Below are 26384 nucleotides of genomic sequence, written 5' to 3'. Positions count from 1 at the left end.
TAATTCAGAGTACATTCAAGATTCATGCGTTGCATTTCATTGCTATATTTCTTTAATCTCTTAATTCAGCAAAGTCACCTTATTTGGAAAAAGACCTGATTGTGAAAGCTGAGTTTTATGTGTTTTCATTGATCTTGTTCTTTATTCCTTGTCAGGTTACTTTTAATAACATTGTGTTGTAATTGGAATAAATTATTAATACTTTTAACATCTTATTATGTGTGTGTGTACATACACTTTATAGGTTACTAATCAGGAAAAAGTCTTGGCTAGGTCTTAATACAGTCTTTAAATCATTGCCTTTAAGTGGGCTTAAAGTTTTTCAAAAATGTTCTTTTTGTAATTCTGGAATCGAATTAAGATTATGCCTAAATCTTTACCTTCCTTAGCTAAAGCAGTGTGGATTTGGGGTTGATTCTGTTTTTTTACTAATAATGACGCTCTAGAACTAAAAGTTAACGATTAATTATAAGGCAAAAAGAAAAGAGCGTTCTTTTTTTTTTTCTAATTGCAGAGTAGTTTCCTGACACTACTAAATGAATATTTTAAATAAAACAGGAGTAATTCTGACCCTCTGTGCTTTTGTCTTATAACCTGTACTTACAGTGGATGTAATTTTATATTAAAGTTTAGGGGTTTTTTTTTTTGGTCAACAAGGGCAAACACAAGATTATTCAAAGGCTTGGGAGAAATATTACAAGAAGCAAGGTATTGTTTTTATTAGAAATGAGATGTTGGGCTTATAATTGTGGTTACAGCAACAAAGTTCTTTTTTTTCAAAGGTCAGGCAGTTCCTGCTCCGACTGGGGCTCCTCCAGGTGGTCAGCCAGATTATAGTGCAGCCTGGGCTGAGTATTATAGACAACAAGCAGCCTATTATGCCCAGACAAGTCCCCAGGGAATGCCACAGCATCCTCCAGCACCTCAGGTATAATGTAATTGCTAATTTGTTGATTTCTACTCCAGTCTGTTTTCTGCATGTTTACTGTTTGTCTGTTTGGGAGTGTTTGCCTTTTAAATTTTTATCTGGCAAAGTATAATAACTATTTAAATGAAGTACTACGGTGTATTGTTTGGGTTTTTTTGTTTTTTATAATGCTTTCCAGCATCTGAGTGGTGAATATTTCTGCAATGCCTTTGATTTTAAAAATAAATTTTCTTCCCCCAGGGATTTGCAAATCATGCAAGAAGCCACCACCATTTATATTAACCACTTTTTCTTTCTTAAAGGATTCACTCCTGAATTAGCTCCATTTCAAGGATTTTCTTTAACTTTTTGTGTATTTCTTATGTATCTCTTCTGCACAGGGCCAATAATAAGAAGTGGACAATACAGTATTTGCTTCATTGTGTGGGGGAAAAAAACCTTTGTTAAATATATGGATGCAGACGACTTGATGAAGATCTTAATTTTGTTTTTGGTTTAAAATAGTGTTTCCTTTTTTTTTTTTTTTTTTGAAAATGTACAAAATATCTATCACTACTGATAGGAGGTTAATATTTCTGTGTAGAAATGAAAATTGGTTTGTTTTTAGTATTTAGTGTAGATGTACACATTCCAGCAAATGTATTTGCAATTATGTGGTTGATGCTTTGTGATATAAATGTACTTTTTCAATGTATACTTTCACTTTTAAAATGCCTGTTTTGTGCTTTACAATAAATGATATGAAACCTCCTGTGTCGGTAAGTTGGATATGTGGGTATTTAAAGGATTCATAATTTCTTAGCAATGATAAATTAAGATACATATACACAAATATATAAGCTTTCCCCATGAAATATTGAGTTTTTAAACACTGGCATGTTTTTCCCCCCTTGCAGTATAGTGGTAGATTGGAGGATCTTTTCCATTTATTGTATTGGCTCTTTCAGCACAAGTAATCCTGATATCTTCATTTTTTTTCCTTCTGTTTGATTAAAAACTGCATGTGTGTACAATGATCTTTTGGCATACTTCCATTGCATTAACAGTGAAATTTCCTTTTATACATGACCACTGTTTCAGACCTGTACTGCTGCTATAACAGTTAACCTTTCTGTTCTTAATTTGATAATACTTGATTTCCAAGACTGTTTCGGCATAACTAATTTTAAACAGTTTTCAGATAGTGAATATGAGTAGTCTAATAAGAACAGTTTTTTTCCATGTGAAGCAACTCTTTCAATGTATATAATGTTAGTGTGTTTCTTTCTAAATTTAGGATAGAAAAGTGAATAGTGTGCAAAAAGTATAGCTACATTGCATCTGCCATTGAAACATAAATGGGGTATGGAAACGTTCAAGCTTTTTTTTTTTCTTTATGCAGTATAGATAAGCTTTGTTTTGTAAATGCACAAGTCCAATCATTGAATCAACTTAATTTTTTTATGTACTTGAAGTCATTTTATTACTCTTTAACACTCATGCTGAAGTTCTGATATTTTGTTGAAATCCATTGTTTTACTCTTTGCATATTTGTTGGCTCTTTGCATATTAATATATTAGACTACATGCAAATACAGTCTGTCTTGCCATTGTCTGTTGAAGTGCAGGTTTGATCCAGCCAGTATAGAACTAGCTCTGTAGGGGTGAGGAGGACTGTGCTGTGTATCATCCTTGATTGTGTTCCTTCAAGGAGCATTGCACTGTAAGTACATCAGAATGACAAATTGATGAACTGCAACAGTATCTTTTTGTCAATGTTCCACATAATGCAAATGCCATACGTTGTGTGAATATTATGTTGGAATACAGTGCTGATATCTTGGAAAACCATAACTGCCTCTTAATTTAACATAGAATAATACATAGTTCTGTATTTTTTTTAAAGTGAGCTTAATGGGTAAGTATTTTTTATATGCTTTAGCTATAGCTAAAGAAAACTGATACTTAACAAAGTTGAATAGTATTATTCACTGGTGCTCCTAAAATATTGTTTTTCAGTGTAAAATATGCATATCTTCTATATTTAATATGAAAGTCTTGAAATGTATCAGACAGAAGGGGATTTCAGTTTGCAAATAATGAGCAATGTAGCAATTTTAACACATTTCATAAATATATATTTTGTCATTGGTGGAGAGCACCATTTGTTGTTTTGAATATACTTTAAAGGAAGAGGTACAAGGACATAAATGTTGAGATTACCTACAGGATGGAAATAGCAGTACAGTTCATTGTAGATATTTTGAAATGTTTTTGATTGTTTTATATAACCTAGAGTGACTTCCCTTACCCTTATTTAGATCTGCATATATAGTTCTAGTATGAAGTTTAATAGTTAAGGAGTTAGCTATTTGTTATCTTTAAGAGTAGGGTATTGACGTGAACAATTGCAGTATTTTGCATGATACTGTTTTATAGATGACCTTTTAGGAAAGTGGTGCATTTATTAATTGAACTGAAGAAGTAGTTCAGTTGAATTCAGTATCATAATTCACAAATTGGAGGCTGTTGATTTTGATTCATTTAAGGTTTAAAATCTTTATTAATTGCAAACAGTGCAATTATTTATACTTCACAGTGCCTTCCCAGACCTTCCACCTTAGGTTCTGCTGCAAAAAGCACCAGGTAAGCACAACCTAAGGACATATATAAATAAATATTTCAATACATTAATGTTGTCCCTGTGAGGTTTTTGTGGTTGTGTATTCAAAGGCAATCTGCTACTGCTTCCCCAAAATGTATTTTGTTATTTTATGCTACCATCTTAGTGGAAAGTCTGTAAGTTGTTAAAGCAACTGTTTACATTTCTGGGTAATGTTTTTTATTTTACTTTTTTTTTTTTATTAAGACAAGAAAATGATGAGTAGATTGCTGCAGTAATTGAACTACATCCAAATCTTTTTGTATTTTTTCCCCAAATATAGAAGTGTTAATATTAAGAAAGGACAATTACACAGTTTTCAAGATTTAGGAAATCACTTGTTTAGAAACTTCAACAGCCTTCACAATCTGTTTTATATGATGGACAGAAAATTTCTTTGCCCTCCAAAATTATAATTTCTTTATTTTTTTCTTATTCTTAAACTATAATAATTCAGTAAGGATATTATGGGTTAGAATTTTATTATGATTTTTTTCTTAGACAAAAGTTATATGCTGAAGAAGGAAAAAGTTATAAGGCAGTATGTTTTGATAAAAGGCATGTGCATCAGTGAAATGTTAACTGTATAGCAAATAACCTTTCATAATCTGTAGCAATCAGTATTTTTCTGATTTAATAATATTTTAATAACTGACGCTGCATTTAATTTTTTTGCCAGTTTAAAATGTTTGTGTGTTTTTATAGATGATTTTAACTGGTACATATTTTGAGTTAAGTTGAATGTATGAAAGCAGCATCTTATCAGTTTTGTTTATTCGATTTCTAAAATGTGCTGATCCTTTTAAAACTCCTGCTTATCTCTGCAACAAAGAAAAATATTCAAAAATACTGCCTTCATTTTCACACACAGTGCTGAAGATGCTGCAAGCACCAAATCATAGCTCATAAAATCAGGTCCTGAGATAGTTACCCATAAAGAGGAATCCTTTGAGTGTATGCCATTGGTGAGCCGATGAGCATGGACCATAGAAGGGCTCAATGTAGAAGGTAAAATTGGCAAATCATAATTGAGAAATATGAAATGTATTCCCATACATAATATGGTATAGGGTGTAATGTACCTGCTTTTGATCACTTTTCATTTTAAAGTGCTATTCACTTGATCTTAAATGTTCCATGAACTGTTAAATTTCTTAAGTTACATAGTTACTACACCACATTTATGTGTATGTTATGTTTTAATAGTCAATGATAGGTATGTACAATTGATAATATAAAGGGGCTCATTGAAACTTGAGAGCCTGTTGAGTTTTGGTTAGTTGTAGATTGCATTTTTATAAAAAAAAATACAGATAGATTGATGATAATAGATATTGGGGCATTGTTTCTGTCTCATGAGAATTCTTTTATTCATTACCATAAGCCTTCACTGATACTATAAGCATTATTTTAAATGACGCTGATCTTAAGTCTGAAATAAATGGAAAGCAGAAAAGGTGAGCCAGTTGATTTGAATGCATTGGATATTAGTGTTAGAAACAATGTATAGTTTAGATTGAAACTGAACTGACTTATTTAGCACTTAAACAAAAATTTGACAATGTTTTTAGTTTTTTTTAAGACAGCTTAGTGTGGTGATACTTAGAATTCTATGGTTTGATGTTTCTTTTAGAAATGAGAAGTATAGTTTTATTTTTTAATATAAAAAATGGTTTTAATACTAAAACTAGTAATTTGATACTAGTTGTTTATAAACATTGTAAAATATATCTTTTAAACAAATTATCTTGGTAGTTAATTCATAAGGGTGGGTTTGGGTAGGAATAGCAGAGTACTTTCAGAGGGAAAGGGGAGTCATTCAGAAGTGATAGCATTTTATTTGTTTGAATACTCTGCCAGTAAAATCAGCTGTACTTAGAAAGTTATCTGTTGTGTAGAATAATGATGTAGAGTTTACTAATCAGTGAGGATGTCTTGTTTTTATTTTCTGCAAACTCTGCCTCACTTTAAAATGCATTATAACAATACCTAATTAAAGATAATTTTGGCTCTGAAAGTTACCTTATTTTTTGTTGAGTTAGTGACTTCATTTTTCTTGCCACAATATAAGCTTTTGAGGGATTTTTTTAAATTGGTGCTTTTAATAAGCAAATAAATCCCAGGGTTTTATTTTCTTCAGTGATACCCCTATAGAAACTCTTAAATGTATTTGCGCATATATATATATATATTTTCTTATGCATGCTCGATGCATTTTCGTCCTGAGAAAAATGTTCTCTACAGAAACTACCCGTGTGTAAAAAGAAGATTGGCTTAAAATGGCTACTGTGATGGGAACAGTGTCTTAGGGAGATGCAGCTTGGACTTGAGGTAAATTGAATACTTTACAACTGTGGTTTAGAGTTTGCTTTAATGACATTGTATGTAAAAGGTCACATGATTGCTGTAATTTTGTATTCATTATGGTTTCCTCAATAAATGTACATTGATGACTATTATAAAGGAGTGCTTTGTGTTTTTTATACATATATTACATGGTAAAATTTTCTACTTGACTGGGTTTTTTTTTATGTTTACTGTGAGAAAAAATGATTTTAAAAAGTTTTAATGATAAAAGGGTAACATCTGGTTGCACAAGTCTTAAAATACAGAAAGACTTTTAAATACAGAAGTTACTTTATTTGGGTTCACGTTGTAAAATAAAATTGTCTTCCAGAAAATTAAAATATAAAACAACTTAATAGAACGTAATAGCTAATTATTTACAAACTCATTTTAAAGACTAGAATTTTAAATCGAAGGTTGTGCCACTTTTTCCCTAAGTCTGATACACTTAGATCTTGAAGCCTTCGACTATGTTGAAAGTGTTTTCTCTTGCGTGAACTATTAATAGAAAGTTTTTTCATTAAAATATAATTTGTTCAGGCAAGATCACAACATAAATTTGCTTTATAAATTTAATATATATTACATACGTTTGAAAAATAACATGTTTAATATCCTCAACACTCAACACTGTATAGCCATTCTTTAAGTCCTTTAATTTTTGTTTTTCTCCATGCTCCTCCCCTTTTCCTCTGAAAGGAGTGACAGTTTTCCCCACCCCGCTCCAATCCCAATATATCTGCTTCAGAAAGACTTTGAAACTACAACAACCAAAATGGTGTACTACTAAAGAAAAAGTCCACTCAAATTGATAGGTTCCAAATTAATTATCTCAGCTATTTCAGCCTAATTTTAGGTGTAAAAAGCTCAGAAATGACATTCCTTCATGCAAAATAATGTATTCTACTTAGGTTTGTGTGTTTTTTTTTTGTTTTTGTTTTTTAAACATAGTTGCTGTAAACGTCTATGGGAAATACAGTCTTTATAATAGGTTCTGATAGAATAATTGAGTAATTCCCCCCCATAAGTACATTTTATTGACTGTTACTGCATAATAGGCGATAAATCTGATGCTTATTTGGAAAAGAAGTAGGCATTCTTTAGATGAGCTGTGCTTTGAAGACTGTTATGAAAAGGAATAAGAAGTCAGCATAGTGGCACTCCTGGTTTCCTTTTTTGGCCCCGCCACAGAAAAGATGGATGTAGTAAGAAAGTTGGAGTGAAAGAGAAAGTTCCAGGGAGAGGGGAGGGGAGCTAGTAGTCATCAGCTAAAAAAGAGAAGAAGAAAAGTGATTTTAAGGAAAAAAAAATTAATAGAATAAAAGATAAAAAGAGTGATTAATTCTTACTTTCAATGGTAAGAATACAGGTACTAGCTGCAGATCCTTTATTGTTGACTGCTTTACACATATACTCTCCTCCATCTTCTGGGAAAGTTTCTGGTAAGTAAAGGCAGTAAGTTTCTCCCCTTTCAATATATTGATAGTCTTCTCCATCCTGCAGTATTTCTCCTTCAAACCACCATGTAATTTCTGGTTTGGGTTCTCCTGTTACTTTAACCGTAAATCTGACTGGCTCACTGTCTACAACTGATGTGTTTTTAAGAGGCTTCTTGAACCATGGAGCTCCTGATCTGGTTTGCTCTTCATCTTCAGCAGTGGAGCCATTCATGATGCTACCTTCTTCCTCCTCCTCCTCTTCTCTTTTCTGTATTAAAATAAATGCATTCAGGTTGGCATTTATAGTATTTTCAGGGCAGCGATTTAGTAACAATTTTGAAATGAAATTTTTTTTTTTAAGTAAAGAACATACAAGTGTGCCTACTACAAAGTGTACTTAACAGTACATTCCAGTGACTTGAAAGAAAACCATTAAAACATTTTTTTAACCTACCTAATTATAAAACTATGGGTTTTAAGAGGGCATCTTTGGAAAATAAAGGATACATAAGCCTGGTACCTTTTGTAGTGCTGCATCAATTTCCCTTTGTTCAAACTGCATGCGTAGTAACTTTTGTTCTTCAATTCTTCTTTGTTCTTCTTCTTCTCTTGCCTTAGCCATTTGTTCAAATCTAGCTTTCATATTCACTTTGTGAGTAAATGGAGCCTCGCTTTTTCTTGCAGGCCTAACATCAACATCATCTTCCTGCAAGAAAGTGGGCCAAGATTAACAATTGCTTGCCTTCTAAAAACAAAGAAGCGTTACTAGTTCTAAAGGTGTTTAGAAGCACAAAATGATTAACATGTTTATAATGCATATTTTTGCTACACTGCAGACACTCAGATTTTTTCTAACTCTCCAGTTCAGGAAAAGTGATAGATACATTTATGAAGCATTCTCTTAGTTATAGACTTTTTCTCCAAATGTAAAGATCACAATATCACTGGGATCCTAGCCTGTTTGTCCTACCAACTCTGCTTGGTTTTGATAGCACTTAACTGAAAAAGGTCAGAATGCTATACATTCTAAATAATTGTTAAAAGTACTCCCTTGATTCCTGTAAGTCCATACCATTCCCTACTGCATAATAAATGTTTTCTCACTTAATGATTTTCCTTCTTTACCCTTCTTAGAACTATGTCCCTAATGAATTCCCTCCAAATAATGTATTGATGGTGAAATGGCAGGGGAAGGGTGTTTACAAGTAGAAAAACAGGTAGAGACAACTGTTGAAAGAGGCAATGGCTGAAACATGGGGAAATCACTAAGTAAAATATGTTTGAGTCATCTGAGGGGTGAATTGGAAGGGCGAAATGCTAATAAGGGAGTGATTTAAGAGCAGAGTCTCAACTGTCAAATAGTGTGTCTAGGAAAATAATAATTTGGTAATGATAAGGTCTAGAGCAGTTTTGGTGGAGTGGGGTTAATGTGGGTAGTTAATTCATGGTTTCTAAAGTACTTCAGTTGTTGACTTTTGGTTTCTTGACTTTTGGTTTCTAACTACCTAGGCATTTGTGGATCTAGTTGGAAATCTCACCATTTATATTTCATAGTACTATGAGGAAATTGCTCCAGATTGCCACATCCAACTAAAGGGAAATTTGAAACAAGCAGTTTAATTGCCTATATAAGAAAAATCTTGGTTCGGGTGTTTCACTTCAGTTTGAGGTGTTGCACCTCACACCTCGTACCTTGTACCTACCTCATTTCCGATGAAAGGAGTAGAAGGTGGTTAAAGTAGTTGCATGGTTTTTCTGGTTCTGCATTAGATTTTTTATTTGATGTTGGAAAATCATGGGACATCAGACAACCTGCTACCTGGTGCGTAAATTCTATTTTGTGCCATTATTTACCTTCAGTTGATAAATATAATGCCTGACTATGGTTGTTGCTAATGAATGAATGAACAGCATTTTTTAAAAAATTATTATACATAAAAGACTAAGAAAAATACATGTTAAACCATGATTTGCTTACTGTAGTTTCATCTCAACAGACTTCTGAGACTTAAATTTAAAAAGGACCTCTTTGTTCACAGTATACACTTTTTTTGTTGTTTACCAAATGAACCTTTAAGATGGAATATTTCAGCAGGTACAATAATTGCTATTCTGAGTCCCTCCCAGTTAATAACTTGCCTTTCAGATTTTAGCCTGTTTATGCAAATTCATAACTATTCATTTAGCTGCCTCAAACCTGCATTTAGAAAATAAATTTGAGTAAGTAAAATAATTTCTCTTGAGCTGAAAATTTATGCACAGTTCTGCAGTCAAGTACAATTGTCAACTTTTCTTGAGCTCCTAAAAAGCCAGGTTAAAACATGTTTCTGGGAAAGAAATCTAAGATAGTAATATAAATGGTATTCTGTAGGTACATTCTTTATAGGGCATTGGTACTCTCAGCCCATGAATATTAAAGTCAGCAGTTAGGCAGTGTATTTTCCTTGAGATACAATGGGGCATAAGGTGGTTTTGGAGTAGACTTTATTGGAAAATCTAACTAGAAATTCAAATGTTATATAAGGCATTTAAGTACCAAATGAGGGGTACATGTTTAAGTGCTACAGGAGCTGGGATGGAATTCTTTGATTAGGTAAGGTTATGTAAATGAGTTGAGCCTTGAAAGAATATAAACATTTTGAAGACACATTGAACATTGATATTTCTCGCTGTGTCACCCAGGCTGGAGTGCAGTGGCGTGATCTCGGCTCACTGCAACCCCTGTCTCCCGGGTTCAAGCCGTTCTCCTGCCTCAACCTCCTGTGTAGCTGGGATTATAGGCGTCTGCCACCACGCCCGGCTAATTTTTGTATTTTTAGTAGAGACAGGGTTTCGCCATGTTGGCCAGGCTGGTCTCGAACTCCTGACCTCAGGTGATCCGCCTGCCTCCGCCTCCCAAAGTGCTGGGAATTACAGGCATAAACCACCGCGCTCAGCCGCTAACAAGTTTTTAAATACGATTTCAATAATCTTTAAGCCAGAAAGATATGATAGGAGGGACTTCATTGTCCTCCAGAGGAAACTCCATTCAGGATATTCTGATAGGGTATAAAAGTTCAGCCATGTCCTAATACCACATCCATGTATACTAGAGAGCCAGTAATAGCAAAAACAAGAAGTCACCTATCTTATTTTTGTTATTACCTACATATTTTGTAGGTATAGGTATAACTGCTAAGGTTTCACTACCATTAACAAAAGGAAGCAAGTGCATGCTGATTGAACTTTTCTTTACCTTCCATGTTACACCTATAAAGGCTGATGTTTGGCCAGTCATCCACTAAATATTGGTGTTCTCCAGGGCTTAATTCACTTTCAACAATTAACTTTATAAGCAGCTTTATCTACTTGTACTTTCCAGTGCTGTCTGTAAAAGTTGGTATCTGCTTGCCTCTCACCTTAGTTCAGGACCTTTGTTAGACTGCCTTTACCTTATCCAAATATCACTCAAACTTTACATGCCAAAACTATTCACCCCAACTCCCCAGACCTGATTTCTCTATAGCATCATCTAGATATCCTGAAGTAATGGTAGACCCCTCCGCAACCAACTGCCCAAAAAGCAACCTATAACCCTTTTTTGTTTGTTCAACTCCTATCCATACCAGAGTCTAACCTAGTTTTGTTATTTAGGTCTGTTTTTCTCCCTTGGCCCCAACTTCATGCCTGTCTTCCAGTTCATCCTCCATGGTCCCAGAATTCTTGCATAAACATAAATATTTTATTACTCTGACCTAAAAAGTTATTAACATTGTTGCCCAGATCATAGAGCCTGCAAGGTTTAAAAAGACTTTCATTAACTAGCCACAACCTATTTTTACAACCTTGTATCCTATCACTTATTCTGTGAACCTTGCCTTGTCCTTTGAACCTGTTTTCCATTCCCCAGATACATTTTTACAACCTCTGAGTTAATCTGGAAGGCTTCTCCTCTATCTGGAATGTCTCTCCTCTTTACCTGCAACTTTTATTCAGCCTTCACACTCACCTTAAATGTCACCTTCTTGGCCCTGTTAAACATATCCTAGGTATATTGACCACCCAATTTGATTCTGTAATAACTTCTATTATAGTACTTAGAATAATTAGAATTTTCTTCATCATACGTCATTAGACTGAACTTTTTTTTTTTTTTTTTTGAGACAGTCTTGCTCTGTCGCCAGGCTGGAGTGCAGTCTCAGCCTCCTGAGTAGCTGGGACTATAGACCCGTGCCACCACGCCCAGCTAATTTTTGTATTTTTAGTAGAGACGGGGTTTCACCATGTTGGCCAGGATGGTCTCGATCTCTTGACCTGGTGATCCGCCCGCCTCGGCCTCCCAAAGTGCCGGGATTACAGGTGTGAGCCACCGCACCCGGCTGTAGACTAAACTTCTTAAATGCTTATTATATCCACATATATATCCCCAAAACAACAGATCCAACATGTTAAAAATGTTCAACATTTTGTAGATGTTAAAAAATAGAAATGGTGTTTGCTTTTGGCAATGATGAAAAGGTTTATCTACAACTAACCCAGGCCTTAGGCTTGTATGTCACACAAGCTTAGATGCAAATCAGATTGATTGGTTGATGTTTCACAGCATCTCCATTTGTGTCAAATAGCTTATGGAACCTCTTTTCCTTCCAAACTCTAGTCTGGTTTCCCGTATTGTTACTGTATACCCTGTCACTATGATTCCTTCCTCTTCCTCTCCATCACCATCCCCAAGTCCTGCCAGTTTTGACTCCTGCATACTTACCTGTCCTTTCCATACCAGACCTAGTTCAAATCCTCAGGCCGCCTCTGACCACGCTGTACAAAACAGTAACACATACTCTTATTTCCCTTACTCTGCTTTATTAATCTTAATAGCTTTTGTTTGTTAACCACCTGATAATTGTTTTCTATCCCTCCCAATCCCCAACCCATCCATTAGATTCTAAACACTATATGAACAGGGACTGTAAGTTTAGTTACTGATGTCTTGTGTCCAAAGCAGTCCCTGGAACATAGTAGTCATTCAAATAATTTTTTTTATTTTTTATTTTTTATTTTTTTGAGATGGAGACTCGCTCTGTCGCCAAGGCTAGAGTGCAGTGGTGCGATCTCAGCTCACTGCAGTCTCCACCTCCCGGGTTCAAGCAATACTCCTGCCTCAGCCTCCCTAGTAGGTGGGATTATAGGCACCCGCCATTATGCCTGGCTAATTTTTGTATTTTTGTAGAGACAGGGTTTCACTATGTTGGCCAGACTGGTCTTGAACTCCTGACCTCAGGTGATCCACCCACCTCGGCCTCCCAAAGTGCTTGGGATTACAGGCGTGAGCCACCGTGCCTGGCCTCAAATAATTTTTTTAATGCATGTATCTAAGACCATATAGCTTCAGCATGATCCAGCTATATAGACAATATCTGTCTGACAATATCCATGCTTTATTGTGTTAGAGACAGGGTCTTGCTCTGACCCCCAGGCTGGAGTGCAGTGGTGCAATCACAGTTCACCGCAGCCTCAACCACCCAGGCTCAATCAGTCCTCCCACCTCAGCCTCCCAAGTAACTGGGACTACAGACATGCACCACTGTGCTCGGATAATTTGTATTTTTTGTACAGATACGGTTTTGCCATGTTGCCCAGGCTGGTCTTGAAATGGCTCAAGTGACCCACCCACCTCGGCCTCCCAAAGTGCTGAGACTACAGGTGTGAGCCACTGTGCCCAGACAATATCCATGTTTTAAAAATCCCTTCACATGGCATCTAAGACTCCATGATCATCTCAGTTATGCTTGCATCTTCATTTTGCTGTCCTTCGCACTCGTGCATGCCTCAATAATAATGAATTGCTTATAGTCCCAATAATTGGCACACAGTTTCTTCATTCTGTCCTTTTATTCAGTCTCCTCTGAAGGCCCTCCCAAATTCCCATACCTGTTTTGCTAGCTGAATATTTGATCAAAATAGAATATAGGTTAAGTTCTGTTAAATATTATAGGATGGCAATTCTGGCAGAAAAAAAATTTCTAGATCTCATTTAAACTAGTATTCATAATCACAGAAATAGTCCTTAAGCTAGAAGGGATGTTGCAGGTCAGTGATTGCCTCTTTATTTTATGTTTGAAGATAATTCAAATTCATGTCATCAGAATTCTCATTTAGGCTCTTCCACACCGAATTACTACTGTAACTTTGAGCAAATACTAGAGGCTTTATGGGTTTCATCTAAGAAATTATGAATAATCTGGAGTTTAACTTGAATATACACTGGTTCTACTGACTCAACTAAAACATATGCCAAAAAATATATTATTTTAGTTGTATCTTTTTTTGTAGAGATGGGGTTTCACTTTGTTACCCAGGCTAGCCTAGGACTCCTGGATCATGTGATCCTCCCTCCTTGGCCTCCCAAAGTGCTGGGATTATAGGCGTGAGCCACCACGCCCAGCCAAAAAATATTTTTGAACATTTTTGCTAGAGTGAACCATTTGACATTCACTATAGGTTTTAACACTGATAAAGGTGATTTTGAAACAATGCTAGTCTTTCAAAGTCTAAGATCTACATGTGTTTTGCTATTTACTTCCCAGATTACTGTATATACCAATGATTAATTTTAAGTACTAAAACTTATTTCAAAGCCAATGTTACTTCTGTTAAATTTATTATCATTACTGTACCATAACTATGTTAAATATAAAGGTAATATACCTCATGAAAATTTTCAGCTTCTCGCTCTTTAATTTCAAGGTCAATTGCTCTCCTTCTTGCTCGCTCTTCTTCTATTTTTTTCTGTATTTCTTTTTCAGACAACTGTCCAATTTTTTCAAACTTGCTTTTTAGGTTTTTAGCTTGAATAGAGCCACTCCTTTTTAATTTGATCAGTTCTTCATATTCTCTGCTCAATCCAAAGGTTTCATTTTCTTCCTCTTCCTTCAAAAAAAATTAATAAGTTTGTTGCTGCTGTTTTTGAGAGAGTCTCACTATGTTGCCAAGGCTGGCCTTGAATTCCTGTGTTTAAGCAATCCTCCTGCCTCAGCTTCCCAAGGAGCTGGGACTACAGGCACATGCCACCATGTGTGACTCAAAAAAAAAAGATTGAATATCAGCATATTAGTTTGTACAAGAAACCATCCAAAAGATGTGCACTATTTCTTATTTGAAACCAAAAATACAGTTTAACCTCTTCTCTAAATGCAGGGTCCAAATTTACTAACTCAAAATGGTGCTACAAATTTAAGGCATTATTGAAAACATTCTACTTAAAATGCTATTCTCATTAGGAAATATGGCTAAAATCCTCTGACATTCCTTGATAACTTGCTAAAACTAAAATATTCATGACAAGATTAGCTTTTTGTAGGAGTTGTAGGAAGATCTTTGTTAGGGGAAGGCAAAAAATAATTGAAAGAACACTAGGCTGGGTGCAGTGGCTCACGCCTGTAATCCCAGCACTTAGGGAGGCCAAGGTAGGCAGATCACCTGAGGTCGGGAGTTCAAGACCAGCCTGGACAACATGGTGAAACCCCCTTTCTACTAAAAATACAAAAATTAGCCGGGCATGGTGGCTTGTGCCTGTAATCCCAGCTACTTGGGAGGCTGAGGTGGAGGTTGTAGTGAGCCGAGATTGTGCCACTGCACTCCAGGCTGGGTGACACAGCAAGACTTTGTCTCAAACAAACAAAAAAGAACACTGGACTAGGAGTCATATGAGTTCTAGTCCTGGCTCTGATACTGTGCAGGCTTTTGCCCAGTTACTTACCCACTGTATGATTTTCTTCATCTCTAAATAGAGCCACAGTATCTAAAATTTTTCCTACTTTTGATTTTATGGTAGTCTTACAAAGTAAACATCACTCTTAATACTCAAGTTAATAATTAAGTATTTCTGGTTCCTAGGTTATAAATTGGTGAGAGGACCCCTCCAAGTTGCCTGCCAAACATGCCATAGCATTGCCAGTCCAAGTCATGAGGCTACATCTTAGACCCTGACCCTGTTCATGTGTGTGGCCTGGCCCCTGGCAGGGGCCAAGGCTGATGGCGAATACACGCCCCCATTCTACCTTTCTCTTCTGCTGCCCACGCAACCTGGGCCACCCAGAGGGATGGCAGCAGAGTCCGAAGAGGGAAGAAGGTTAGGCAGGGCCCTGGGAAAGGGGGCTGATGAAAACCCATTCCAGGGAGGCAGGAAAGACAGCGTAAAGCTTTAGTGAGCAAAAGCTCCTATATAGGGCATGCTTCATCGTCCAATCAGTTTTCACTTACATACAACACACAAATTCAAAGGTAAAATTAAGAATTTCAAGACAGTGGCTGGGCATGATGGCTAATGCCTGTAATCCCAGAACTGTGGAAGGCTCAGGTCAGAGGATCGCTTGCCAGAAGTTTGAGACCAGCCTGGGCAATAAAGTGCGATCACCCCATCTTTAGAAAAGAAAACAAAAAGGCCGGGTGCGGTGGCTCATGCCTGTAATAACCAGCACTTTGGGAGGCCGAGGTGGGCGGATCACCTGAAGTCAGGAGTTCGAGATCAGCCTGGCCGACATGGTGAAACCCCATCTCTACCAAAAATACAAAAATTAGCCGGGCATCGTGGCACATGCCTGTAATCCCAGTTACTCGGGAGGCTGAGGCAGGAGAATTGCTTGAACCTGGGAGGTGGAGGTTGCAATGAACCAAGATTGTGCCATTGCACTCCAGCCTGGGCAACAGAGCAAGACTCCATCTCAAAAAAAAAAAAAAAATTAAAAATTAGCCAGACATGGTGCTGCGTGCACCCCAAGTCTCAGCTACACAGAAGGCTGAGACATGAGGATCACTTGAGCATGGGAGGTTGAGGCTGCAGTGAGCCATGTTCACACCACAAAAAGGATTTGAAGACAGTAACCTCAGCATTAAACCCCAAATGCAAGGCCTTCTGAACATGGCGTCTTGTGAGTGCACAAGGTGCATGCCCATGAAGCTGGCACTGTATAGTCTATATATAATATATGTATTGAATATATGCATATTTATGAACTACAAATATAAATAAATAGTAATAGCTCAGTCACTTGCAAACCTAGATACTTTTTTATTAAACTAGCAAGGAAGGAGTAGTTAAAGCAGACTAGAAAGTACACATAATTGTGCAGACGCCTGTACCATGTAAGCACCTCATAATACTATGTCAACTATCCTAAAGGTGAATAATAATACAAAGTTATTATAAGGTGATATAAGTAAAATATTTAGCTTAATAAATATGGGGAATATAGATATTTCTTAAAATCTTACCTCTCCCATTTCCTGTCTCAGTTGTTCAAATTCTTGTTTCTCCATTTCTAGCTTATGCTTCCGTTCCTCCTCTGTTCGTCGTTTTTCTTCTTCCATTTTTTGTTTTAATAATTCTTCAAAATTAATTTCCAGTTTTCCCGGTGTAAGAAATTCTTGAGAGATTGTCTTATACATCTCTGGGGAGTCATCATCTACTACCTATTTAAAATAATTATTTTATCACTCTGGCCAGAATTACACATACTAAAAAGGGACTATTTCTTGAAGAAACTGGGATTTCTTTTTTTTGTTTGTTTTTAGTTTTTGTTTTTGTTTTTTGAGATGGAGTTTCACTCTTATTGCCCAGGCTGGAGTGCAATGATGTGATCTCAGCTCACTACAACCTCTGCCTCCCAGATTCAAGCGATTCTCCTGCCTCAGCCTCCCAAGTAGCTGGGATTACAGGCATGCGCCACCACGCCCGGCTAATTTTGTATTTTTAGTAGAGACGGGGTTTCTCCATGTTGGTCAGGCTGGTCTCGAACTCCCGACAGGTGATCCGTCTGCCTTGGCCTCCCAAAGTGCTGGGATTACAGGCGTGAGCCACGCACCCGGCCAGATTTCTTAAATAGGTTTCACATTGAACAAAAAACAAGGGGACTTAACAGTAAACAAGGAAGTCTCAACACAGTGTTCAAAAATAAATAAATAAAAGGGAAGAATTATTAGAAAATGTAAGACCGAGGTATTTTGTGGTTATGAAGGAAATGGTAACCATCTATTCTCCATTACAGTGAAGACAAAGAAATAATTTATTCATACCATGAGTACTTTAAATTAGACATTAAGATTTCCTAATTTGAGAACATTTTTTAATTGGATTGAAACGACTCCCCAGGTTGGTAATTAAAGCATTTAAGTTAATCATGATTTTGTCTGAATGAATTAGATAACCCATCATGATCTCTTCATAATCAGGCAAAAATCATTCTTAGTGCTATGAGTTTATTGTTTATTTGCTGTCTGGCTAATTTTAAAGAAATAATAATAGTTAATACTTGGAGCTGCCAAGTGCAGTTATAAGCACGTAAAGTGTATTAATACATGTAAAATGTATTAATTTATTTAATCCTATGACCCTATGAAGTAGTTACTAATATCCTCATTTTACAGAGAAAGAAACTGAGGCACTGAAAAGTAATTGTCTAAAGTCAACACAAATACTATGTGGCAAAGCTGGGATTCAAACTTCAAAATATTTCTAATAAGATTATAGGCCGGGCACAGTGGCTCATGCCTGTAATCCCAGCACTTTGGGAGGCCAAGGCAGGTGGATCATGAGGTCAGGAGTTCGAGACCAGCCTGACTAACATGGTGAAACCCCGTCTCTACTAAAAATACAAAAATTAGCCAGGTGTGGTGGTGGGCGCCTGTAATCCCAGCTACTGGGGAGGCTGAGGCAGGAGAATCACGTGAACCCAGGAGGTGGAAGTTGCAGTGAGCCGAGATTGCACCATTGTACTCCAGCCTGGGTGACAGCGAGACTCCATCTCAAAAAAAACAAAAGATTATAGGCCGGGCGCGGTATAACATAACCCTCTGGCCTGAACTGTGACTCTGTGGTTGAAATACACACAGGGGAATGAGAGAGGCAAGGGGTATTATTCATTTGCTCCAAGTTTTATCAAGGTAATCCAGGCTTTACCACAGAACTATTTCAACTCAGAAACAATGTTTAAGTGGTTTACAATTCAAAGATTGCCTGAAATTTTTAAATTTTACATATGCATGAACTAAGCTATGGTATGAAATTACAATACTTATTCCTGGATAAATTACAATACTTATTTGTGGATAAGAAAACAATATAAATGTAAGAGGAAGGTTTTCTCTCTTCTCTTTAGAAATGTCTTTAGGAAACTTGGTTTTGTTTTAATGCAGTTTTCTCGCCTGCATTTTTTCCGCTAGTGAATCATGGTAAAAAGGCAGTATTGGCCTACAAATCTGCCCCAAGGACTAGGTCTAGTAATCTTCACAGTTACTTCTCTTCTACCGCTTCTTTTTTTTTTTTTTTTTTTTTTTTTTTTTGAGACGGAGTCTCACTCTGTCCCCCAGGCTGGAGTGCAGTGGCGAGATCTTGGCTCACTGCAAGCTCCGCCTCCCAGGTTCATGCGATTCTCCTGCCTCAGCCTCTGAGTAGCTGGGACTACAGGTGCCCGCCAACACGCCCGGCTAATTTTTTTTTTTTTTTTTTTTTTTTTTTTTTTTTGTATTTTTAGTAGAGACGGGGTTTCAACATGTTAGCCAGGATGGTCTCGATCTCCTGACCTCGTGATCCGCCCGCCTCGGCCTCCCAAAGTGCTGGGATTACAGGCGTGAGCCACCGCGCCCGGCTTCTTCTACCGCTTCTAAACCTGCTTATTCTCCAAAAATTAAGTGCATTCACAACGTCTGTAGGACTTCTATGTAGAAACCATTTATGAATCAGGGATTACCTACTGCACGTAAGATTTCAATATCACTTGTTCCATCAACATTTATTGGAGGTCTGCTACGCTAAGCATTGTGCCACATGTTTGATGAACAGTCTTGGCCTCATGGAGTGGAAAAGACAGCCATAAGTGGTAACAATACAGGATTAGCGCTATGATAGAAGAGTACTAAATGCTGTAAGAATTCATGGAAGGTGTTTATTATCAGGAAAGGCTTTCCAGAGGAAATGGAAAGTTATGAATTGGAGTTAGCAGAGCATAGGGAAAGGAGTGAGGGACATCTTTCAGACAGTGTGAAGGCTGAGTCTCACTTTGAAGAAATACAAACAAATTCAGCATATTTGGAACAAAGAGCAGATTCAGGAAGAATCAAGAAATGAAACGAGAGCAATATACAAGAGCAAGACTATAAAGAAATTTGTTTTAGAAGTTTTTGGATTTTTGCTTAAGAAAAGTGGGGAAATATTAAGCAAAACAGTAACAAAACACAATCAAAATTTCTTTCTTTTTAAAGATCACTCCTGGCCTTACAGGAAAGAATAGGTTACAGGTAAGAAAGCAAGTTAATGAGGAGTTGGCCCCAGGCAAGTTGTAACAGTAACTTGGATTATAGTAGTGGCGGTGAAAATGGGGGGAAAACTGACAGATTTCATAGTGATTTAGGAGGTAGAATAAACGAGACTTAGTGACTGGTTGGACATCAGGCATGAATAAGAAGATGGAAGTGTTTCAGGCTTCCACGTTTCTGATTTGAGTATCTGTGTGGGCAATAAAGCCAAATAAACACTTGGACATATGTGTGTGATGCTCACCCATACAGAGGAAGAAAACCAGGTTACGATATCACCAAAGCTAATTACAGTGTTTCAAGAAGGAGATGCAGTGCTCTAGTCTCAAATTGCTTCAAAATTGTTTGTCAGATAACTGTACATTGTACAAACATAAAACTGGTATAGGAAGTACAGTCATAACCTTGTGACAGTTAAGTTAGGTATCAATTTCCAGGAGTGATGAGTGAGCATTTTGAAGAGAGAAATAATTCTGATTAAATGACTCAGGTCATTTAATATATAGTAGGTGGGATGAAAACTGAAAGAAGGAAAGGAAGGAAATAAAGGAATGAAGGAGGGAGAAAGGGAGTATGGGAAGGAGGTGGCGAAAGAATGGAGAGGAAGAAAGAAAAGTTGAGGGAGGAAACTCCCTACTTCTTCTTCTTCCTTGGATACTTAGTTCTGGAAAACATGCCTTCCCAGAGAAGGGAGATAATATTCCATCCTTTGTGCCAAGCATGGCAATTTAAAGCAGAATCTTCTGAACACTAAATTGAAGCAAATACCTTCAACCAACTGGTGTTATTCCATGGGAGACTTTAAAACATATTTGCCATTTCTACTCTTGGCACAGTTTCCAGAAATAATAGGGTATTCTCTAAAGTCTAATGATTCTATTAACATATTCTCAAAGGTGAATTCTAATAGCATTCTCCAGTTAGCTTCTGTCTTACCATATTTCTCCTTGCTTCAGCAAACGCCTTCTTTTCTTCCTCTATTCTCCTTCTGGCTTCTTCTTCTGCTTTCCTTTTTTCATCTTCTCTTCTTTGCCTTTCCATTTCTTCAAAACTGAGTTTGAGTTTACCAGGGCGGTACCCTTTAAAAATTTTTGCTGTGTCTTGGTTTTCCTCATCTTCATTTACCTAACCAAATAAACAATTCATTACTAAGAATTGAGGTTCATCAGAAAAAGGAATGAATTATTAATCAAAAGGCACAGAATTAGCCACTATCACACAGGAGTTTCAATGCCCTTAATATACTTGACCTAAATCCCCTTCCTTTTTAATGTCTTCTATGATAAAATATTCAAATTTGGAGAAATTCCATATAAAGATGTACTCAGGTTAAATAAAACTTCTCAAATAAGCCAAATTTCTATAGATAAAATTGAATATTAAAACATTTTTAGCCAGGTGTTGTGGCGGCTCACGCCTGTAATTCCAGAACTTTAGGAGGCAGGAGGATCACTTGAACCCAGGAGTTCAAGACCAGCCTGGGCAACATAGCAAGACTTCGTCTCTACTAAAAACCAAAAAACACATTATAGCCAGTGTGGTGGTGTGTGCCTGTAGTCCCAGCTACTCGAGAAGCTGAGGTGGGAGGATCCCTTGAGCCCAGTAGGTTGAGGCTGCAGTGAGGGGTTACTGTTGAGTATTAACTTTCCCAGAACAAATATAAAATGCGTATGTGTGTACTATAATTGGGGTTCAAGTATATCTACACAGAATCTCTTTGGTAGTAAAATAATGTTCTCATTTTGTAATTTTTGTATTTTTTTTTTTACTGTGAACTATGGTACCTTATACTAATCAGATAAAAGATTATTATCTAGAACTATTTTATGTAAAATTCCAGCTTTATGATTTTATCATTAAAGGTTTATTATTAAATTTACTATAATATCAATTGAAATGTATTATTTATTTAACAATACTATTTCTTTATTAAGTTGACCACCAGAAATATCTAAAATGTGCAGATATTATGCAGCTATACCCGAGTAATAACATTTTCAAATAAATGTCTAGAAAATTAAATTTTTATATATATAATTCTTAGAACATCATTCAAGAAAGCTGATCAAGAAAGTTCTGTAACTTTAAAATTACAAATATTCCATTTTTAGATCCTTTTTTTTTTTTTTTGAGACAGGGTCTCACTCTGTCACCCAGGCTGGAGTCCAGTGGCTCATTCATAGTTCGCCGTAGCCTTGATTTCCCGGGCTCAAGCAATCCTCTCGCCTCAGCACCCGGGGAGCTTGGACTACAGGTCTGTGCCACCACACCTGGCTAATTTTTGTATTTGTTTTTGTAGAGACATGGTTTCCACATGTTGCTCAGGCTGGTCTCAAACTCCTGGGCTCAAGGGATCTGCCTGCCTCAGCCTTCCAAAGTGCTGAGATTACAGGCATGGCCACCATGCCTGGCGCATTTTTAAATCTTAAAACGAGGTTTGGAATCAGTGTTTTCTTATTTCAGTTTTACTTTCTGTTGATAAATCTATTAATACCATAGTAATAATTAACATTTTCAAAGAACTTAGTATATGTAACAAACACCATTTTAAGTGCTTCCTAGATATTAACTTGTTTAACCATTTAAGAAATAGGCATTGAAAAAAAATCCAAGTCATTGTGGAAGTTAAAAAAAAAAAGAAGTAGGCGCTTTCATTTTTACCATTTTAAAAATGAAGAAACTAAGAGAGATTTAATTAATTAACACAGCGAGAGATTAAAACAGTTGTCCATGGTTACACAGTTAGTAAATGGCTGATATCTGAATCTAGACAATCTGGCCCCACAATCCATGCTCTTAACCACACTACACACACACACACACACACACACACACACAGACACACACACACAGAGGCATGCACACAAATATGCACACACATACACTTAATAGGACAAACTGCATATTCCACCGTAAACTGTTATTTTGATATGTTCAAACAGTTGAAAAACTGGACTGCTGAGGACAAGTTTACACTTATAATCAGTCCCGCACCCATGTCATTAAGTACTTTGCAGATTGAACTAACAGATGAAGGAAACCAGGTTCATTGAGTAATTATTTTGCATATTTATACATTAATAACAATGTATAAAAATAAAAATTTAAAGCATATTGGGTAAAATGCCCCAGAGTGAAAACTGGAAAACAGTATGGATTTTTTTTTTTGAGACAGTCTCATTCTGTTACCCAGGCTGGAGTGCAATGGCGTGATCTCAGCTCACTGCAACCTCCATCGCCTAAGTTCAAGTGATTCTCGTGCCTTAGCCTCCCAAGCAGCTGGGATTACAGGGATTTCACAGTGTTGGCCAGGCTGGTTTCAAACTCCTGACCTCAGGTGATCTACCCACCTTGGCCTCCCAAAGTGCTGGGATTACAGCATGAGCCACCGTGCCTAGCCTAGATGTATTTTATATATGAAATATGAATACAATTAGAAAATCAGCCCTTCTATATGTAAAATCTCTTTGAATTTGTAGTAGTAAACCTTATCTTAAGTCGGCTAACTTCATTAATATTAATTGTAAGGTTTAAATATGTAGATTTACCATTTGCCGCCTTGCTTCTTCAAAAGCACGCTTCTCTTCTTCTAAACGTTTTCTTGCTTCCTCTTCAGCTTGCTTCTTTCGGTTTTCTTGTCTTTGTCGCTCCAGTTCTTCAAAAGTTAGTTTCAATTTTCCGGGAGAAAGTGATTCTTTTTTTGCTTCACTTTCTATTTCATCATCCTAAGAAAACGTTATGAAAACCCACCTTTTAGTCATAAAGGAAAATGCTGCTAACTTAAACTGCCTTGATTTGTTTCTTAGAAAACAAACAAACAAAAATTTACCATAACTAATGAAAGACACTTTGCTTCCTTGAGAGATGGTCGTTGTTCTTCATATCTTATTCTTTTATCTTCCTCGTACTTGATCCTTTCTTTCTCTTCACGTTCTTTTTCTAGATCCTCAAAATTCTTTTTCATTTTTCCAGATGTTTTATATGATTTGACAGGTACCACAGTTATAAGTAGTGAATCATCTCCTTCCTATTTTATAAAATAGATAATTAGCCTATTTCTTCTTAATCAAAATTGGGTTTCATGGGACTTTACCTCCATCATAGGTGAATTTCATTACACTGTCATCAATGTTATTATGAAGAACATTTTTTTACAGATTATTATTAAATATCTCCTACTCTAAATTCTTTGTGCATTATGAGTTAATCTTGCTGAAATCCATTGCTGACGAGGTTCAAGAAGCATTCTATTTCCTAGAAGATGGAGTTAATACAGCTGTTTGGATAACGAAACTGCAGTGACATTGCCTGAATTAAGCTATTTGTGCACTAATCCACAAAATGTGCATGTGAATATACTCTAAATCAATTTGATGGTGGATAGATTCAGTTTAAACAAAAAAAAGTTTCCTCATATGATTTTTCTCTCTATGCAAGCTTTTAAATACTTAATGAAACCAGTATTTAGTGAGAAAAAAACACAGTATTTCCAAGTGATTTATTAAACATTTATATATATTATAGATAAACTCTCTGGTATTTGATTGTATTAAAATATTTTAAAATTATTATTTAATTCATTTTAATTATATAATCTGTTGTTGCCTCTGACTTTTTTAAAAACTAAGAAGAGTGGTGAAATGAAACACATGGCCCTGAGATAAAATTGCTCCCAATTTATGGGCTGTAGTTTTGGGCACACCATCAAATTGAAAGATTTTTAACTTATTCTGTTAGATAAAAGGGATGACTAAAATTTTTGTGGTTGTTGAACATTTCTTCTTGGTAACAGATACTGCACTCTGTACTATTATATAAAAACCAAAACATAAACTCTCAGGAACTCTGAGGAAAGAAGACAAATGATGAAAATAAAATTGCCTTTTTATAAATGTTAGCGTTCAACAATCTCAGCTGTTAGTAACAGTTCAAAAAATACGTTGTCTTGGCAGAGTATCTCAAACTGAGACTAATAAGGCTTGTCTTTCTAACCTGACTATGAAAGCAAAACATACTTTTCTTTAAAAACACTAAGCTATAGTGTTTGAAAGTGCAAAAGTATGCTCTTGCTTTGCAAAACATACTTTTTTGTTATTTCTACATTTATAATAAAAATAATAAAAGCTCTTTTAGTTTTTTCTTATACTAAAAGATAATTTGTGAATCAGATAATTTTAGGTGAATGTTTCATTAAAGGAAATGTCTGTTTACCTCTGATGCTGATTCAGTTCCCGTATTGTTTATGTCCTCAATCTATTGAATGAGAATTTCATATCATTACATTACATCAGATTTCTACTTTTTGCTTTTAAACAACAACTGGAAAGTAATTTAGTTGTGACTTATAGTAAATTTTCAAATTTATAATTTTTGAAATATGTTTATGTTGTTCCAAATTAGCCAAATATATCCTTTATATTTATTGTTGCATATTGATATCAATATCAATATCCAGAAAACAACATATTAAGAAAACAATCAGGCTGGACGAGGTGGCTCATGCCTGTAATCCCAGCACTTTGGGAAGCCAAGGTGGACAGATCATTTGAGCCCAGGAGTTCAAGACCAGCTTGGGCAACATGGCGAGATCCCTTCTCTACAAAAAGTACAAAAGTTAGCTGGGCATGGTGGCACGCACCTGTGGTCCCAGCTACTCTGGAGGCTGAGGCAGGAGGATCACTTGAGCCCAGGAGGTTCAGGCTGCAGTGAGCCATGTTCATGCCACTGCACTCCAGTGTGAGTGACAGAGTGAGACCCTGTTTCAAGAAAAAAAGAAAAAAAAACAGAAAAAATTAAGATAAAGCCTACCCTCTGTAACCCAGAAACTGAATAACAGACCAAACTCTTATGACCAGGCTATTGAGCTTACAAGCAGCAATTATTAATTTAATTAGCAATTTAAACCAAGACACATAGAAACACTTCTCCATTCTTTGTCACTGCCCCATCAAAGGAAAACCTATCCATTAGCAATCTAATACTTGTCATGATTATATTTTACAACATAAATATAGGGCAAAAATAAAACTGATACAATAACAGTGCAGTGAAAGATGTAGGCTAGTTTATTTTTTTTTTTGAGATGGAGTCTCGTGCTGTCACCCAGGCTGGAGTGTAGTGTCGTAGTCTCAGGTCACTGCAACTTCTGCATGCTGGGTTCAAGCAATTCTCCTGCCTCAGCCTCCTGAGTAGCTGGTACTACAGGTGTGCACCATCACGCCTGGCTAATTTCTGTATTTTTAGTAGAGATGGGGTTTCACCATGTTGGCCAGGCTGGTCTCCAACTCCTGACCCCAAGTGATCTGCGTGTCTTGGCCTCCCAAAGTGCTGGGATTACAGGCGTGAGCCACCATGCCCAGCTGGGATAGAATAGTTTAGAAGGGAAAATAATTCTGATAGTCATGTTTTCTCTATATTTTGACGAGGTCTAAGTAGGAAAGCTCCTCATTTAAAAAGTGAGAGCTTGGCCAGGCACAATGGCTCACGCCTATAATCCCAGCACTTTGAGAGGCTGAGGCGGGCGGATCACGAGGTCAAGAGATCAAGACCATCCTGCCCAACATGGTGAAACCCCGTCTCTACTAAAAATAGAAAAATTAGCTGGGTGTGGTGGCACACGCCTGTAGTCCCAGCTACTCGGGAGGCTGGTGCAGGAGAATCGTGTGAACCCGGGAGGCAGAGGTTGCATTGAGCTGAGATCACACCACTGCACTCCAGCCTGACAGAGCAAGAGTCCCTCTCA

The 26384-nt window shown here is 36.6% G+C and overlaps 2 protein-coding genes across 38 annotated transcripts in view; one reads left to right on the top strand and one right to left on the bottom strand.

The window, feature by feature from the left end:
- Positions 1-6028, top strand: part of FUBP1 (far upstream element binding protein 1) — a 35447-nt gene extending 29419 nt beyond the window's left edge. For 8 of the 31 annotated variants that reach the window (XM_047433493.1, XM_047433492.1, XM_047433489.1 and 5 more), the window contains 2 exons: positions 783-928; positions 1309-6028. In XM_047433493.1, coding sequence (XP_047289449.1) covers positions 783-928; positions 1309-1317 — 155 coding nt within the window. In that variant the 3' untranslated portion in view covers positions 1318-6028. The remainder of the gene's footprint in view (positions 1-782; positions 929-1308) is intronic. The other 23 variants (XM_047433487.1, XM_047433485.1, XM_017002739.2 and 20 more) reach the window with 9 other exon arrangements.
- Positions 6188-26384, bottom strand: part of NEXN (nexilin F-actin binding protein) — a 55272-nt gene continuing 35075 nt past the window's right edge. For 2 of the 7 annotated variants that reach the window (XM_005271322.5, XM_005271324.6), the window contains 9 exons: positions 24854-24895; positions 23472-23669; positions 23191-23367; positions 20579-20767; positions 16604-16801; positions 14039-14260; positions 7875-8060; positions 7265-7622; positions 6188-7183 (listed from right to left, as the gene is read on the bottom strand). In XM_005271322.5, the coding sequence (XP_005271379.1) occupies positions 7170-7183; positions 7265-7622; positions 7875-8060; positions 14039-14260; positions 16604-16801; positions 20579-20767; positions 23191-23367; positions 23472-23669; positions 24854-24895 (1584 nt within the window). In that variant the 3' untranslated portion in view covers positions 6188-7169. Of the gene's footprint in view, positions 7623-7874; positions 8061-14038; positions 14261-16603; positions 16802-20578; positions 20768-23190; positions 23368-23471; positions 23670-24853; positions 24896-26384 lie in introns of all 7 variants that reach the window. The other 5 variants (NM_144573.4, NM_001172309.2, XM_005271325.5 and 2 more) reach the window with 4 other exon arrangements.

Source organism: Homo sapiens, chromosome 1, assembly GCF_000001405.40.
Source record: "Homo sapiens chromosome 1, GRCh38.p14 Primary Assembly".
NCBI lineage: Eukaryota > Metazoa > Chordata > Mammalia > Primates > Hominidae > Homo > Homo sapiens.
Note: the sequence above shows the minus strand (reverse complement) of the source record. Positions and strands in the feature narration are given on the sequence as shown.